This window comes from Homo sapiens, chromosome 14, assembly GCF_000001405.40.
Source record: "Homo sapiens chromosome 14, GRCh38.p14 Primary Assembly".
Classification (NCBI taxonomy): Eukaryota; Metazoa; Chordata; class Mammalia; order Primates; family Hominidae; genus Homo; species Homo sapiens.
The window spans coordinates 88,654,355-88,671,864 of record NC_000014.9 but is presented as its reverse complement, the minus strand read 5'-3'; the positions used below and the strand labels follow the sequence as shown (position 1 = coordinate 88,671,864).

General features: G+C 38.2%; 1 protein-coding gene across 24 annotated transcripts in view, besides 1 other annotated feature; it reads left to right on the top strand.

Annotated features, from left to right (window-relative positions):
* The window catches only part of EML5 (EMAP like 5), a 180,523-nt gene that overhangs the window by 121,089 nt on the left and 41,924 nt on the right, over positions 1-17,510 (top strand). For all 24 annotated transcript variants that reach the window (XM_047431057.1, XM_017021065.3, XM_047431056.1 and 21 more), the window contains 6 exons: positions 6,376-6,528; positions 7,241-7,372; positions 8,746-8,834; positions 10,035-10,211; positions 13,477-13,678; positions 14,363-14,489. In XM_047431057.1, the coding sequence (XP_047287013.1) occupies positions 6,376-6,528; positions 7,241-7,372; positions 8,746-8,834; positions 10,035-10,211; positions 13,477-13,678; positions 14,363-14,489 (880 nt within the window). The remainder of the gene's footprint in view (positions 1-6,375; positions 6,529-7,240; positions 7,373-8,745; positions 8,835-10,034; positions 10,212-13,476; positions 13,679-14,362; positions 14,490-17,510) is intronic.
* Positions 3,291-3,470: an enhancer, noted in NCBI's record as "active region_8843". NCBI's record gives its function as "activates an Ori minimal core promoter by ATAC-STARR-seq in GM12878 lymphoblastoid cells {active_cell/tissue: GM12878}" and the evidence as "EXISTENCE:reporter gene assay evidence [ECO:0000049][PMID:35858748]".

Genomic DNA, 17,510 nt, shown 5'->3' with positions numbered 1-17,510 from the left:
ATATTTAGGATAGTTAGCTTTACTTGTTGAATTGATCCCATTTCCATTATACAATGCCCATCTTTGTCTTTTTTGATCTTTTTTGGTTTAAAATCTGTTTTGTTAGAAACTAGGATTGCACTCCCTGCTTTTTCCTGCTTTCCATTTGCTTGGTAAATTTTCCTCCATCCCTTTATTTTGAGCCTGTATGTGTCTTTACACATGAGATAGATCTCTTGAATATAGCACACCAGTGGGTTGTGACTCTTTATCAGCATGCCATTCTCTGTCTTTTAATTTGGGGCATTTAGCCAATTTACATTTAAGGTTAATATTGTTATGTGTGAATTTGATCCTGTCATCGTGATGCTAGCTGGTTATGTTGCACACTTAATGTAGTTGCTTCGTAGTATCATTGATTTTCGTACTTCAGTGTGTTTTTGCAGTGGCTGGTAACACTTTTTCCTTTCCATATTTAGTGCTTCCTTCGGGAGCTCTTGCAAGGCAGGCCTGGTGGTGACCAATTCCCTCAGCATTTGCTTGTCTAAAAAGGAGTTTATTTCTCCTTCACTTATGAGGCTTAGTTTGGCTGGATATGAAATTCTGAGTTGGAAATTCTTTAAGAATGTTGAATATTGGCCCCTAGTGTCTCCTGACTTGTAGGGCTTCTGCTGAGAGGTCTGCTGTTAGTCTGATGGGCTCCCCTTTGTAGGTGACCTGACTTTATCTCTGACTGCCCTTAACATTTTTTTCCTTCATTTTGACCTTGGAGAATCTGATGATTATGTATCATGGGGTTGATCTTCTCATGGAGTATCTTACTGGGGTTCTCTGGATTGCCTGAATTTGAATTTTGGCCTGTCTTGTTAGGTTGGGGAAGTTCTCCTGGATGATATCCTGAAGTACGTTTTACAACTTTGTTCTGTTCAGGTACCCCAGTCAGTCATAGGTTCAGTCTTTCTACATAATCCCATAGTTCTCAGAGGTTTTGCTCATTCCTTTTCATCCTTTTTTTTTTTCTCTAATCTTGTAGTGTATCTTATTTCAGCAAGATAGTCTTCAAGCTCTGAAATTCTTCCCTGTGCTTGGTCTATTCAGTTATTGATACTTGTGGTTGCATTGTAACATTCTTGGTTGTGTTTTTCAGCTCCTTCAGGTCATTTGTGTTCTTCTCTAAACTGGTTATTCTGGTTAACAGCTCCTGTAATGTTTTATCATGGCTCTTAGCTTCTTTGCATTGGGTTAGAACTTGTTCCTTTAGCTCAGCAAAATTCATTATTACCCACCTTCTGAAGCCTACTTCTGTCAATTCATCCATCTCAGCCTTTGCCCAGTTCTGTGCCCTTGCTGGAGAGGTGTTGTGTTAATTTGGAGGAGAAGAGGCACTCTGGCTTTTTGAGTTTGCAGCATTTTTTTTCTTTGATTCTGTCTCATCTTTGTGAGTTTATCTAGCTTCAGTCTTTGAGGCTGCTGAACTTTGGATGGGGTTTTTGCAGGGACTTTTTTTGTTGATGCTTTTGTTGTTGGTGTTTGTTTTTCTTTTTTCTCCTTTTTTTTTTTTTTTTTGAGATGGAGTCCTGCTCTATCACCCAGGCTGGAGTGCAGTGGCATGATCTTGGCCCACTGCAACCTCCACTTCCTGGGTTCAAGCAATTCTCTGCCTCAGCCTCCCAAGTAGCTGGGATTACAGGCACCTGCTACCACACCCAGCTAATTTTTTTTGTTTTTTTTTTAGTAGAGATGGGGTTTCACCATCTTGGTCAGGCTGGTCTTGAACCCCTGACCACATGATCCACCTGCCTCGGCCTCCCAAAAGTGCTGGGATTACAGGCATGAGCCACTATGCCTGGCCTGTTTTTCTTTTAACAGTCAGACCCCTCTTCCTCTTCCAGCTGAGGTTTGCTGGAGGTCCACTCCAGACCTTCTTTGCCTGGGTCCCTCCCACACCTCGAGGTATCACCAGTGGAGGCTGCAAAACAGTAAAGGTAGCTGCCTGCTCCTTTCCCTGGGATCTCTGTCCCAGAGGGTCACTGAACTGATACCAGTGGAAACGCCCCTGTATAAGGTGTCTAGCAACCCCTGTTGGGGTGGTCTCACCCAGTCAGGAGGTACAGGATCCAGGACCCACTTAATGAAGCACTCTGACTACCCCTTGGCAGAGGGGGTGCATTACACTGGGGGAAATCCCACTTGTCCTGACTGCCCAGATTCCTCAGAGCTGGTAGAGGGAAAGACTAAGTCTGCTGATCCATGGAGACCACGGATGCCCCTCCCCTCTAGGAGCTCAGTCCCTGGGAGATCAGAGTTCTGTCCACAAACCTCTGGCTGGAGTTGCTGAAATTCCTGCAGGGAGGCCCCGCACAGTGAGGGGTTATGGTCAGGGTCCGACCTAAAGAGGCAGTCTGGCCACCATCTGCCACAGCCTCTGTGCTGCACTGTGGTGAATTCCTCCTGGGTCTAAACTGTCTATTTTCCCAGGCACCATCAGAGGAGAAATGGCAGACTGGAGCTGCAGTGATGTCTGCTGCCCCTCGCCCAGGGAGCTCAGTCATCTGAGGCAGCAGACAGCCAAAGTGATGACAGCCGTCCCTTCCCCCAGGAACTTGGTAGTCTTCGGCAGTCTGTAGCTAAGTGGCCACTGAGAATCTGTGCAGCTCTATGCTTGGGACTCAAGGAACTGGTGGCATGGGCTCACGGAGGGGATCTCCTGATCCACCAGTTGCACAGATCCATGGAAAAAGTGTGGTTTCCCGGGCAGGATAGCACAATCACTCACTGCCTCTCTTGGCTGGGAGTAGGAGCTCCCCTTGTCCTGTGCAGCTCCCAGGTGGGCTGTCACTCCACCCTGCTTTTCCTCACTCTCCATGGGTCATGCCAACCACCTTGTCAGTCCCAATGAGAGAACCTGGATACCTCAGTTGCTGGTGCAGGATTCACTTGCCGTTTTCGGTCTTCTTGGTGGGAGCCTCTGACCACAGCTGTTTCTAGTTGGCTTTCTTGGCCCCTCCCCTTCCAAATGTGGCTTTTTTGCTCTGGGTTTCTGCTCCCCTTTTAATTTTGATAACTAGAAAATGTTTCTAATTTTTCAATGATCTCAGCTATGAATTTTAAAGGATACTTACTATATTAATCTTCCCTTAAACTCAACTTTCTACCTGCTTTATGCCTGCACCCAACCAGCAGAATAAGCATTGAGTAAAACAGGGAACTGTGATAATTGACCTCACTACTATTCTGTTTCTCTTCCCTCTTTTGTAGCAGAACTCCTCAAAATAGTTGAGGCGCCCTTCTCTGTGTGTTCACATGACAGTAGCTCCATAACCCACTCCAATTAGGCTTTTTTCCCTACTTGTCCATTTAACCTGCTGCCAATCTGTTGATCACTTCCTGGTTCTCAGTGTATTCACCTCACAGCAGTTTGTGACACAATTTATCATTCCCTTTTTTTTTTCTGAAATACTTTATTCACTTGTCTCTGGAACCCGTGCGTGTCTGTTTCTTCTCTCTACTTCACTGACTCCCTTTTTCTGTTTCCTTTGCTAGTGCTATCTCTTCTTCCTGCACTCTGCATTTAGGACTGCTCCAGCGCTTCTCCCCGGACTTTTCTTTTCATATGTACACTCACACTTTAGATTCAGTCGGTCACTGTCCAGTCAGAAGATGAGACTACAAGGCTTATTTGAACAGTGGGAATTTAATAAAAAGAATTGCTAACTAGCAAAAAGTGATTACCTACTGAAAAAGCCTTAGAGGTAGCCACCATAGAAAGCAGCAACCCTAGTACTAAGGGAGAGTGAACAAGTTAAAGGTGATTCAGACCTGTTTGGAAATGGTGTGGCTGCCACCAGAACATTCAGTGAGCTTGTGGCGAAAAAGCTTGCCAGAGGGTGCAGCCCTCAGTGGAACAGTGAGAGTAGTCACTTGGTGAAGGAGAAGCTTGCCAGAGGCAGCAGGCCAGAGCTGAATGGTCAGAACCACTGCTTGAAGAGCTTAACCTAGGGCAAAATCATTGAACTGTGAGGACTCCTGCCAGAGAATCTTCCTGAAGTCCGCAAATTGCAGCTAAATTGTTAGAGCCATTACAGTGATGGTGGAGAAACTTGCTGAAAGAGGCAGTTGGGGCTGCCACTCTGGTGAATGCCATCAGGCCCCCTTCATGCCAGTGCCCGGGCTCTGTTAGTAAAACAGCACACTGGAGGAAGGGAGTCACTTCTGTTTTGGCCTTGTAGTGTCTCTCCAGCTCCCTCTACTGGCAAGCTAGCAAAAAAGTCTGTGAGGCCCAAAGTGGCAGATTTGGAACTGAGAGGCAATAAATTAATAACCAGCACAGTCTTCCCCTCTGGCTAGTCAGGATCCACATGAACCTTTATACACACATTTGAACTTCAGTACAATCACAGAACTAACCTTATGTTTCTACCCAAAGAGATGCAGCTACCCTTGGTACAAGTGAAGTAGTTCTCACCCCTAAAGAGAGAAGACCTACGCTATTCTCAAATTTAGTCACGGTCTTATATTCTTTTAACACAAGGAATATTCTTTTAACACAAAATTGTAAAGTTAACCTCCAACAAACTTGTATAAAATATGAAGGAGAAAAAGGAGAGAAAAGTCAAATAGTTAATATACACAAATAAAGATATACATATAACAAACATTATATGCAGCTCCTGAAAAGGATTCATATATTAAATTGTCTCCTTCATGTCTTCACTTGAACTTCTCATAGGCATCTTTAACTTAATTTGTACAGAACTAAGCACTGGTGGTTCCTCCTCTAGTTTATCCCATCTCAGTAAATGGCATCACCACTCAAGCAAAACCATGCCCTTGACGCCTTTCACCCCACATCCAGTTGGTCAAAGTTCTGCCAGCTCTATCTTTGAAATATATCCAAATCCTTCCTCTTATCACCTCCACTGCTGCCACCCAGCTCCAGGTCATCATCATCTCTTGACTCTCAAATCTGAGAAATCACATCTTAGATTTCTTCATTTCCAATGTATGCTTGATAATTAAATGACTACTTGTTCTCAACTTATGCTATAACTTTTCATTCTGTATATACCCTGTCCTTTCCTCATCAGATTTCATACAAGATACCAAAATCCTTAGGGCTTTTGAATATGTTTGCTGCAACCCTTGCTGTTAGGGTAAGCCCTTTTTTGTGTTTATCAATGCAGCACTAACCCTTATTTTTACGAATGTTAACATCATTAATGACATTAATGAACGATATTAATTTATCATTAATAATAAAAATATCATTTCATATATGGTTCTGAAACGTATATATACAGATGTATCTTCCTACCTTTAATAATGGCCTATTAGATTTTTAAAAATATTTTAGTTTCATAGGCCAGGTGCTGTGGCTCATGCCTGTAATCCCAGCACTTTGAGAGTCTGAGGCAGGTGGTTCACCTGAGGTCAGGAGTTCAGGACCAGCCTGACCAACATGGTGAAACCCCATCTCTACTAAAAATACAAAAGTAGCCAGGCCTGGTGGCACATGCCTGTAATCCCAGCTACTTGGGAGCCTGAGGCAGGAGAATCACTTGAACCCAGGAGGCGGAGGTTGCAGTGAGCTGAGATCATGCCATTGCACTCCACCCTGGGCAACAAGAGAGAAATTCCATCTCAAAAAAAATTACTTTTATAAAGATGACTTATTTCTTAAATTTCTGTTTTTTTGGAAAGAAGCTACAAAGGTAAAACCTACTCTGCAAAACTTCCACATATATCATTGGCTTTTTATGTTAATTAAAATCTCTCATTCTTTTTCATCAACTTAATTTCTTTTAAGGTAAATATCCATACTTGCTTTTGTTGTATTCAGAAGTGAGTTTCATTCCTGCTTAGAATTCCATACCATTGACTTCTATAGAAAACTTAATCTGTATCTCGACTCCTTTTTAATATTGATTTGAAGCCATAATAAAGAGGCAACCTTTTTAGCAAATATTTTTTTTTTTTTTGAGGCAAGGTCTCACTCTGTAACCCAGGCTGGAGTGCAGTGGTGCAATCATAGCTCACTGCACCCTCAACCTCCTGGGCTCAAACAGTCCTCCCGCCTCAGCTTCCTAAGTAAATGGGACTACAGGTGTGTGCCACCATGCCTGTCTATTTATTTACTTACTTACCTGTCTTCCCTTCCCTCTTCTCTCTTCCCCCTCGCCCCTTCTCCTTTGCCCCTTGCCCCTTCCCCTACTCTGCCTACTGGCAGAGATGGGGTCTTGCTATGTTGCCCGGGCTGGTCTTAACCTCCTGGCCGCGGGCAGTCCTCCTGCCTCAGCTCCCCAGAGTGCTTGGATTATAGGCATGAGCCACCACACCTGGCCCATACTTTAAATTAGAAAAAAGGGAAAATTGCCTAATATGCTCTTTCTCTTTCAGGTGGGAGGTGTTGCTGTTTTTCTCCTGATGGTAAAGCTTTAGCCGTAGGTCTCAACGATGGAAGCTTCTTAATGGCAAATGCGGATACTCTAGAGGATCTTGTGTCTTTTCATCACAGAAAAGATATGATTTCAGATATTCGATTTTCACCTGGTAAGATCCATTGAAATTGTATTTGAGTATTAACTTGGGTCTGGCAGTGTATAAATGTATCAATGTATAATTTTTATTAACTGTTATGTTATCTCAGAACTTAACTTTTTTACTAGAAGAGGCAGTGTAGCAAGAGGTAAAAGCCCTGTTGTTAGATTGGTGCAAATATCTGTCTTAGCGCCAATTCTGTTACTAAATTTTCTGTGTGACTTGAGCCAGGATGCTTCTCTGAGCTTTTGTTTCCTCATTTGTGATATAAAAGGGGTTGGATAACTGTTTTCGTTATATTCTTAATGCTTTTGAAATTGCACTCATTTTACTCCATTAATTTCCATGTATTCATTATCTACTACAAACCTACTGTAATGTAGCAATTACTAATGTTAAGGCAAAATTTACTTATGTTGGTTTAGTTCCATTTTTTTCTAAATTTAGAGGGAGTTTTGTTAAATACAAAGTATCAAAACTACATCATACATAGCTTTTGACATTTGCTTCCCACTGAACTAATTTGTTACACTAAAAAATTATTTTGTTAAGTATAATATACTTGAAAAATGTTATCATTTGTTATTTAACACATCTGTTTTATTATAATTTATGAAACAGCTAAGATTTCTCCATAAAGAAAAGGAAAATTAACTCTAGTTGCAGAGTGTAAAAAAGTATTTCCAAAGATAGAAAATGTCAAGCAAATATGTTTCTATTATAGGTTCTGGGAAATATCTTGCTGTAGCATCCCATGACAGCTTTATAGATATATACAATGTAATGAGTAGTAAACGAGTAGGAATATGCAAAGGAGCTACCAGTTACATAACCCATATTGATTGGGATATTAGAGGTAAGACTTTAAATAACTTAATACTTGATAAAAGTTTCATTTGATTTAGTATAGCTATATTAGAGAAACGGAAAAGTGATTCAACAGATGAGTTAAAAAGAATTGGGAAAAACAACCATTATTCTCAAAATTATTTTTTACTATTTTACATCTGAAGATGAATACTATAGAGTTGAGACTTTTCTTTTTCCTTTTTCTTTTCTTTTTTTTTTTTTTTGAGACAGGTCTCACTCTGTCACCCAGGCTGGAATGCTGTGGTACAATCACAGTTCACTACAACCTTAACCTCCTGGGCTTAAGTCATCCTCCCAACTCAGCCTCCTGAGTGCTGGGACTACAGGCATGCACCACCATGCCTGGCTAATTTTTAAATGTTTTGTACAGACAGGTTCTCACTATATTGCCCAGGCTGGTCCCGAACTCCTGGACTCAAGCAGTCCTCCCACCTTGGCATCCCAAAGTGCTGTGATTATAGGCATGAGCCACTGCACCCAACCTACACTTTTCAATACTTCACCTAATATCGTTCAAATAATAGTACAGTAAGTGATTAGTTGTTTAATTTGTAAAGTGATTTAAATATTGTGCAAAAAAATTGTTGTGAAGATGTCTTGATCTTTGTCATATAAATTTGACATAAATAGAATATAGAAATGTTGGCCAGGTATGGTGGCTCATGCCTGTAATCTCAGTACTTTGGGAGGCCAAGGCTGGAGGACTGCTTGAGCCCAGGAGTTTGAGACCAGCCTGGGCAACACAGTGAGACCCCATTCCTAAAAAAAAAAAATGAAATACATTTTTAAAAAGAAATGTTAATGAAGATTTTAAAGTCATTTTTCTCATTGTTTGATATGAAATATATCTTCAAAAAGAGTCATAATCATATAACATAAAGAACTTAATGAGTATGTTTGTATTTTAGCAGAATGCATGGCATATGACTGAGTTTAATATGTTTGATAAATGTTAAGTATTTTAAATCCTCTCTTTTTAAGGATGTTATTGTTTCATGTATTCAACTATATTGTATTCAACTATATAAATTGAGCATCATAAAGTTTTTCTAAATATAGTTAAACAGATACACTTTAAAAAATATTTTAACATTTGTTTCTAGGAATTTTTTACATATGCATAACCAAAGAAATCATTTTTATGTATATACATATACAAAAATCAAACCACTTATGAATTTAGTTACTTAGTAATATGGAATTATAAAAATAAAATGTTCTTACTATAAGTTGACTGCAGCAGAAAATGGTTTTTATATTTAAGCTGATTTTTTCCCATAAAACTTAAACATCATACTGATGGTATATATATTTGTATGTATTTTATATGTGTAAATATTTTTAAAAATTTTTTTGAAGGAAAGCTTTTACAGGTCAACACTGGTGCTAAGGAACAATTATTCTTTGAAGCTCCCAGAGGGAAAAAACAAACCATCCCCAGCGTGGAGGTAGGACAACAGTGGTGCTTGCAGTGTTGTTCATGTGAATAAAAGTGGCTAGAAAACTGATACCTACTTTCTATCGTTTAGTTACACGTGAAGTCTGTTCTCAAATTATTAAAATATTGGATATTATTGAGTTTATTGAGTCAGAATACATGGGTGAAGGAAGAAACACTATATTAATAAAAGGAGTCAGTGGGCATGGTGGCTCACGCCTGTAATCCCAACACTTTGGAAGCAGAGGCAGGCAGATTGCTTGTGCTCAGGAGTTCAAGACCAGACTGGATAACATGCTGAAACCCCATCTCTACAAAAAAATACAAAAAATTAGCTGGGCATGGTGGCATGTGCCTATAGTCCCAGTTACTTGGGAGGCTGAGGTGGGAGGATTGCTTGAACCTAGGAGGCGGAGGCTGCAGTGAGCCATGTTCATGCCACTACACTCCAGCCTGGGTGACAAAGTGAGACCCTGTATTAAAAAAAAAAAAAAAAAAGGAATAAATCACTTGCACGGCTAGCTGTGCTCCAGTTGCTTTCCTTAAAAGACAAGAAGCGTGAAATAGCAAATAGAAGACATGCCATCTAAGATTGGAGTATTGCATATCTGCCACGTCCTTAGGAATCCATATGCCTAAGAAGTTTGTTGGCAGATTACTGTTTTTGCTTCTTTAAAAAAAAAAAAAAAAAAAAAAAAAAACAAGAAAAATTGTGTTGCATTTTGTGCCTGACAATATTAGCCTTTTTTTTTTTATTTTTTATCTTGGCCTAGGAAGAGAGGCTTAACAAATTTAACATGAAAGTGTCTTAATGAAGGGAGAGACCATAAGTAAAAGTTCTAAATTTCTAGTAAGGGTTAGTTGGAAAACATAATGCATTATTAGAAATTTAAACATGAACTGTAAGAATCTTACTTGATTATCCTAAAGTCAGAAACGGTTTTATTATTAACACTGTATGCTTAGCATCTAGAACACACAGTGGATATATAATTATATTCTGAATAATACTATGTTAAAATTTTTCTGCAGCAATTAGTAGGCTCTGGGGAGTTACAAAACCAAGACAACTAATAATTTAACTATTTTTTCATTAAAACTTTCATTTTACTTGTGACACACATAACTACAAAGAAAAATGTTTACATTTTGGTTGTTAATACTTTAGGTTTGGATAATCCAAACTTACAGCATTGTTTTTCATTTTTAGGTAGAAAAAATTGCTTGGGCATCATGGACAAGTGTACTTGGTTTATGCTGTGAAGGAATTTGGCCAGTAATTGGAGAAGTTACAGATGTAACTGCTTCTTGCCTCACCAGTGACAAAATGGTTCTAGCTACCGGGGACGATTTGGGATTTGTGAAGTTATTTAGATATCCTACTAAAGTATGTGTTTTTCTTTAACTTTCCTAATGATCATCAATTATGAAATGGTTAAGGTAATGTCCTGTCATAGCACTTCATTGTTATTAATTGTACATATGTAATATGTAATGTTGTAATATGAAAGGTTCAGAATTATGTTTCATATCTATAGCTTTTAAGTATTGTAATTTATAATCCCATACATTAAGTTATATATCATATCCTATAGTGTTTTTCAATATTGACTAATATGAATATCCCTTTTACAAGAAACATCTTGGCTGGGGACAGTGGCTCATGCCTATAATCCCAGTATAGTACTTTGGGAGCCTGAGGTGGGAGGATCACTTGAGGCCAGGCGTTTCAGGCCAGCCTGGGCAGCATAGCAAGACTTCCTCTCTACAAAACAGAGAAAAAAATTAGCCAGGCATTGTGGCACATGCCTGTAGTCCTAGCTACTCAGGAGGCTGAGGTGGGAAGATTGCTTGAGCCCAGGAGTTGGAGGCTACAGTGAGCTGTGGTCATGTCATTGCACACCAGTCTGGGTGACAGCGCAAAACCCTGTGTCAGAGAGAGAGACACATTCCTTTTATCCCCAATATTAACTTCAATAATTTTTCAATTTTTAATTAAATATATACTATTAACAATAAATATAAACTCTTTATAGTTACAGCTTCAAACTTGAAGTTGTTTTAACCAATTAAATAGAAAATACTTACACTTATAAAATTAAGCACCATTGATTTAATGTAATGAATGACTTTTTTTGAAACCAAATCATACAAATTCTTTTTTTCTGCTTTCGTAGCAGAATATATGTGCATTTTAAATCATCAGCATCATTTGTTGATGATTTTCTGCTTAAAATTGGTATTTACTTCCTGCTTATGTATATTAAGTTTTTTTTTTCTTTTTTCTTTTTTTTTCCCTGAGATGGAGTCTCACTCTGTCGCCAGGCTGGAGTGCAGTGGCATGATCTAGGCTCACTGCAACCTCCACCTCCCGGGTTCAAGCTATTCTCCTGCCTCAGCCCCCTGAGTAGCTGGGATTACAGGCGCGCACCACCATGCCCAGCTAATTTTTTTGTATTTTTAGTAGAGATAGGGTTTTACCATGTTGGTCAGGCTGGTCTCAAACTCCTGACCTTGTGATCCGCCCACTTCGACCTCCCAAAGTACTAGGATTACAGGCGTGAGCCACTGGGCCTCGCCAACAGATTCTTTGGCATTCTACGTACCTATGCTAATGTGTGCTGTGCAAGTACTTAATTCTTTTATCACTTCCCTCTGTTCAAACTACTGTAAAATATTAGGCTTTTCCTTAACACGGAAATAAAATTTATATATCAAGTCCAGATACAATGCATTCCTTTCTTTTTTTTTTTTTTTTAAGACAGCGTCTCTCTCTGTGACCCAGGCTGGAATGCAATGGCGCAATCATGGCTCACTGCAGCATCGACCTTCCAGACCCAAGTTATCCTCCCACCTCAGCCTCTTGAGTAACTGGGACCACAGGCACATGCCACCATGCCTGGCTAATGTAAAAAAAAATTTTTTTTTGTAGAGATGGGGTCTCCAGATGTTGCCTATGCTGGTCTCAAACTCCTGAACCCAGGTGATCCTCCTGCCTCGGCATCCTAAAGTGGTGGGATTACAGGCGCGAGTCACTGTTATCTGGCAGCATTTATTTCTTAATTCACAAATTAAGTTATATATTATACTCTGGCACCAACATGAACATAAAGATAAATTTGAAATATGGCACTGAAATGATATTGTGGTATTCAGTTCCTGGTGATCTTGAGTAACTGCTCATATTAATATTTTTAGATCAGCATTGAAATGAAAACACAGGTTTAAAAATTCTCATTGAAAACTCAGACACCCAAGAAAATATTCCACTGATTCCTGTTTTAGATACATGTAAATGGTAGAGTCTTAGTTGTTAACAATGTGTTCCACTAAAATATTTGCCAGAAACTTCACTTCCAGCGTTCCAGATGGTGTAGATCCCTTAGGAATAGGTTCTGGAATATTGATCTGCAGATTATGTTTTCACCTTAGTGTAGCAAGAACCACACAGTCTTAGAGAAACTACCTTCTTGCCATGCTTTGATGACAGATCCCTCACCCTGACTTAATTATTAAGAGTCATCATTCCTGCTGGGCGCAGTGGCTTACGCCTATAATCCCAGCACTTTGGGAGGCCGAGGCAGGTGGATCACCTGAGGTCAGGAGTTCGAGACCAGCCTAGTCAACATGGTGAAACCCCGTCTCTATTAAAAACAGAAAAAATTAGCTGGGCACGGTGGCGGGTCCCTGTATTCCCAGCTACTTGGGAGGCTGAGGTAGAAGAATCGCTTGAACCAGGAGGCGGAGGTTACAGTGGGCCAAGATCGTGCCACTGCATTCCAGTATCAAAAAAAAAAAAGAGAGTCGTCATTCCTAGGGAATTCACAAATTTTGCTATCACTGTGTTTTGTATAAGACATCTCTCATTTTAACACCTTTGAAAAGATGTTAACGGAAAACCTGCTTTATGATGCTTTGATCTGAAATTTATGTAACTTGGTAATGCTAATACCATAATAACAATAACTTAAACTTTATTGTTATTTAAAAGGAAAATACATTTCTATGTGTATTGCTTACAAAAAAAAGCACTAATGAATTGAGATGAAAGATATTTACATGGGTATATAAATATATGTGTACCAAAGCAATCAATCGATAGTTACTTTTTGTTAACATACTCATGCTGTACATAGGCATGTGTATCCTTTCTCAATTATTGTATCTATTTCCAACAGTACATCTGCATAACCATTGTCTTTAATATATATACACTATTCCATATACATTGTAATTAACTATTACTTTGAACATTTAAGGTATTTAATTTTTTTCACTACTATAAGTAAATACCATGGTAAGTATTTTTTTACACAGATAGCATTTCTTAGCATAGATCCCTAAAAGGGAGATGGGTGAGTCAAATACAAGAACATTTTTATGCTTTTAATGCAGAATACCAAGTTGGTTTTTTAAAGAGTTTTGCCTGGGGTACCAGCATTTTGTGAAACTACTGGTTTTAGATCTTGTCCTTAACAGGTTTAGGAATTGGTATCTTTTATTCTGCTGAGTTTCAGTATTTTCTCATTTTTTTTAACACATTGCACTTGAAATGATTAATTTTTAATTATTAATAAAATTCAAAATCATAATGGAAATATTTAAATAATGAAATTTCTCAGAAAGATTGTTTGAATTTTCTTCCTCTTTAGGGGAAATTTGGAAAGTTTAAGAGGTATGTGGCCCATAGTACACATGTCACAAATGTTCGCTGGACTTATGATGACAGCATGTTGGTTACCCTAGGCGGTACAGATATGTCTTTAATGGTGTGGACAAATGAGATGGAAGGCTATCGAGAAAAAAGGCCTTGTGATAGTGAAGAATCCGACATTGATTCTGAAGAAGATGGGGGTACGTCATTTTATAATACTTGAACAAAAATATAGGGAAAATTTAGCACAACTTGTTTAAGCTGTGGAAGTTAAAGCAAGTAATAATAATGTTTGAATAATTGTAGTGGTACTGTTTTTAGTCTGTTTAACATCAAAATCCATTTTGTGACTCAAGAACAACAGGTTGCCATGAATTTATGACTTTGATATTATTTATCTACAAATGAAAAATATCTGAATTTTAAATAAGTACTGTTAAGGTAAATTTTATATTATTAAACCTCATATTTTAAAATAATTTTGATTTTCTTCTAATATACCAGTAATATCAGCTCGTTATAGAAAATGTATTTTGCCATAAAAATTAAACACAGCCTCCATAATTTGACCACACAGAGGTAACACCTCTTCTAATATTTGGGGTATATCCTAAGATGTATGTAGCTAATATTTTTTTAAGAAAAGTATGGTCATATTGAACTTATTTTTTAACCTGCTATTATTACTTAGTAATACTTTGAAAACATCATTACATATAATTAAATATTCTTCTACATCGTTTTTTCTGGTTGTATATTACTTCATAATTTGCTTATAACAACTTAATTTATTTCATATTGTTGAACATCTTTGTATCCAATTTATAAGATCATAATTGATCTCAGTTATTGCTTAAAGAATTACTCGTATATTTTTATTGTAGGCTATGACAGTGATGTTACAAGGGAGAATGAAATCAGTTACACCATCAGAGCCTTATCAACAAATATTCGCCCAATGTTAGGAATCAAGCCTCATTTACAACAAAAAGAACCCTCAATTGATGAAAGGTAATAATTTAGTTTAGTATTAGATGAAGAAAAAGATATTGTCATTAAAAATGGAATTTATTATTTAAGTGGCTTTTTTACACAAACTAAGTAACAGTGATATTCTTGCTATAGACAATTCACAGCACCTCTTAGAAAGTATGTCTGTCTTTAAATACCTTTTGGTATCAGCCTGGGTGATGTAGTGAGACCTTGTCTCTATGGAAATATAAAAATAATCCAGGTTTAGTGGTGTGTGTTTGTAGCCCCAGCTACTTCAAAGGCTGAGGCAGGAGCATTGCTTGAGCCCAGGAAGTTGAGATTGCAGTGAGTTATGATTGGTGCCACTGCACTCCTACCTGAGTGTCAGAATGAGGCCCTGTCTCAAAAAAAAATACCCACAAAAACAAAACCCTATTGATGGTAACACTATGTGTTAACACTATTGGTTTAGGGATTTATACATGTTTATAAGGTTGATATGATTCATCTTATTTGCTAACTTTTATAAATGTGTGTGATGAGGTTGGAGGAGATAATAAAAATTGAATCCAATACCGAGTACTTTTTAAGAAGTATGTGAGCAGTATTGTGATTCAATTTTGAAAAGGCCTGCCTATCCATGTGCCTTTCTTTAAGCATAGTCAGTCCTCATTTCAAAAATTTTCTAAAAAGGCAGGTTGTCTTTAATGGGAATTATTGGTCTTAGTCTAGAATCAGCAAATAAAAAAGTAAGGACATATGCAAGGCCATTTTATGAGGAGAGATCACTTTTTTTTAATTATACTTTAAGTTCTGGGATACATGTGCAGAACGTGCAGGTTTGTTACATAGGTATACATGTGCCATGGTGGTTTGCTGCATCCATCAGCCCATCATCTACATTAGGTATTTCTTCTAATGCTATCCCTCCCCTAGCTCCCCACTCCCTGACAGGCCCCAGTGTGTGATATTCCCCTCCCTGTGTCCATATGTTCTCATTGTTCAACTCCCACTTATGAGTGAGAACATGTGGTGTTTGGTTTTCTGTTCCTGTGTTAGTTTGCTGAGAATGATGGTTTCCAGCTTCATCCATGTCCCTGCAAAGGACATGAACTCATCCTTTTTTATGGCTGCATAGTATTCCGTGGTGTTTATGTGCCACATTTTCTTTATCCAGTCTATTATTGATGGACATTTGAGTTGGTTCCAAGTCTTTGCTATTGTGAACAGTGCTGTAATAAATATACATGTGCATGTGTCTTTATAGTAGAATGATTTATAATCCTTTGGGTATATACCCAGTAATGGGATTCCTGAGTCAAATGGTATTTCTAGTTCTAGATCCTTGAGGAATTGCCACACTGTCTTCCACAATGGTTGAACTAATTTACACTCCCACCAACAGTGTAAAAGCATTGCTGTTTCTCCACATCTTCTCCAGCATCTGTTGTTTCCTGACTTTTTAATGATCACCATTCTAACTGATGTGAGATGGTATCTCATTGTGGTTTCGATTTGCATTTCTCTAATGACCAGTGATGATGAGCTTTTTTTCATGTTTTTTGGCCACATAAATATCTTCTTTTGAGAAGTGTCTGTTCATATCCTTAGCTTTTTGATGGGGTTGTTTCTTTCTTGTAAATTTGTTTAAATTCTTTGTAGATTCTGGATATTAGCCCTTTGTCAGATGGATAGATTGCAAAAATTTTCTCCCATTCTGTAGGTTGCCTATTCACTCTGATGATGGTTTCTCTTGCTGTGCAGAAGCTCTTTAGTTTAATTAGATCCCATTTGTCAATTTTTGCTTTTGTTGCAATTGCTGTCAGTGTTTTAGTCATGAAGTGTTTGCCCATGCCAAGTCCTGAATGGTATTAGCTAGGTTTTCTTTTAGGGTTTTTATGGTTTTAGGTCTTATGTTTAAGTCTTTAATTCACCTTGAGTTAATTTTTGTATAAGGTATAAGGAAGGGGTCCAGTTTCAGTTTTCTACATACGGGTAGCTAGTTTCCCCAACACCATTTATTAAAGAGGGAATCCTTTCTCATTGCTTGTTTTTACCAGGTTTGTCAAAGATCAGATTGTTGTAGATATGTGGCATTATTCCTGAGGCCTCTGTTCTGTTCCATTGGTCTATATATCTGTTTTGGTACCAGTACCATGCTGTTTTGGTTACTGTAGCATTGTAGTATAGTTTGAAGTCAGCTAGCATGATGCCTCCAGCTTTGTTCTTTTTACTTAGGATTGTCTTGGCTATATGGGCTCTTTTTTTAGTTTCATATGAAATTTACAGTAGTTCAATTCTGTGAGGAAAGTCATTGGTAGCTTGATGGGGATAGCATTGAATCTACTTTAAACCAACAAAGATCAAAAAAGACAAAGAAGGGCATTACATAATGGTAAAGGGATCAATGCAACAAGAAGACCTAACTTTCCTAAATATATATGCACCCAATACAGGAGCACCCAGATTCATAAACCAAGTTCTTAGAGACCTACAAAGAGACTTAGACTCCCACACAAAAATAGTGGGAGACTTTAACACCCCACTGTCAATATTAGATCAACGAGACAGAAAATTAACAAGGATAATCAGGAGTTGAACTCAGCTCTGGACAAACGGACCTAATAGACATCTACAGAACTGTCCACCCCAAATCAACAGAATATACATTCTTCTCAGCACCACATCACATTTATTCTAAATTTGACCACATAATTGGAAGTAAAACACTCCTCAGCAAATGCAAAAGAACAGAAATCATAACAAACAGTCTCTCAAACCATAGTGCAATTGAATTGGAACTGAGGATGGAGAGACTCACTCTGAACCATACAACTACATGGAAACTGAACAACCTGCTCCTGAATTACTACTGGGTAAATAACAGAATTAAGGCAGAAATAAATAAGTTCTTTGAAACCAATGAGAACAAAGAATACAGCATACCAGAATCTCTGGGACACAGCTAAAGCAGTCTTTAGAGGGAAATGTATAGCACTAAATGCCCACAGGAGAAAGTGGGAAAGATCTAAAATCAACATCCTAACATCACAATTAAAA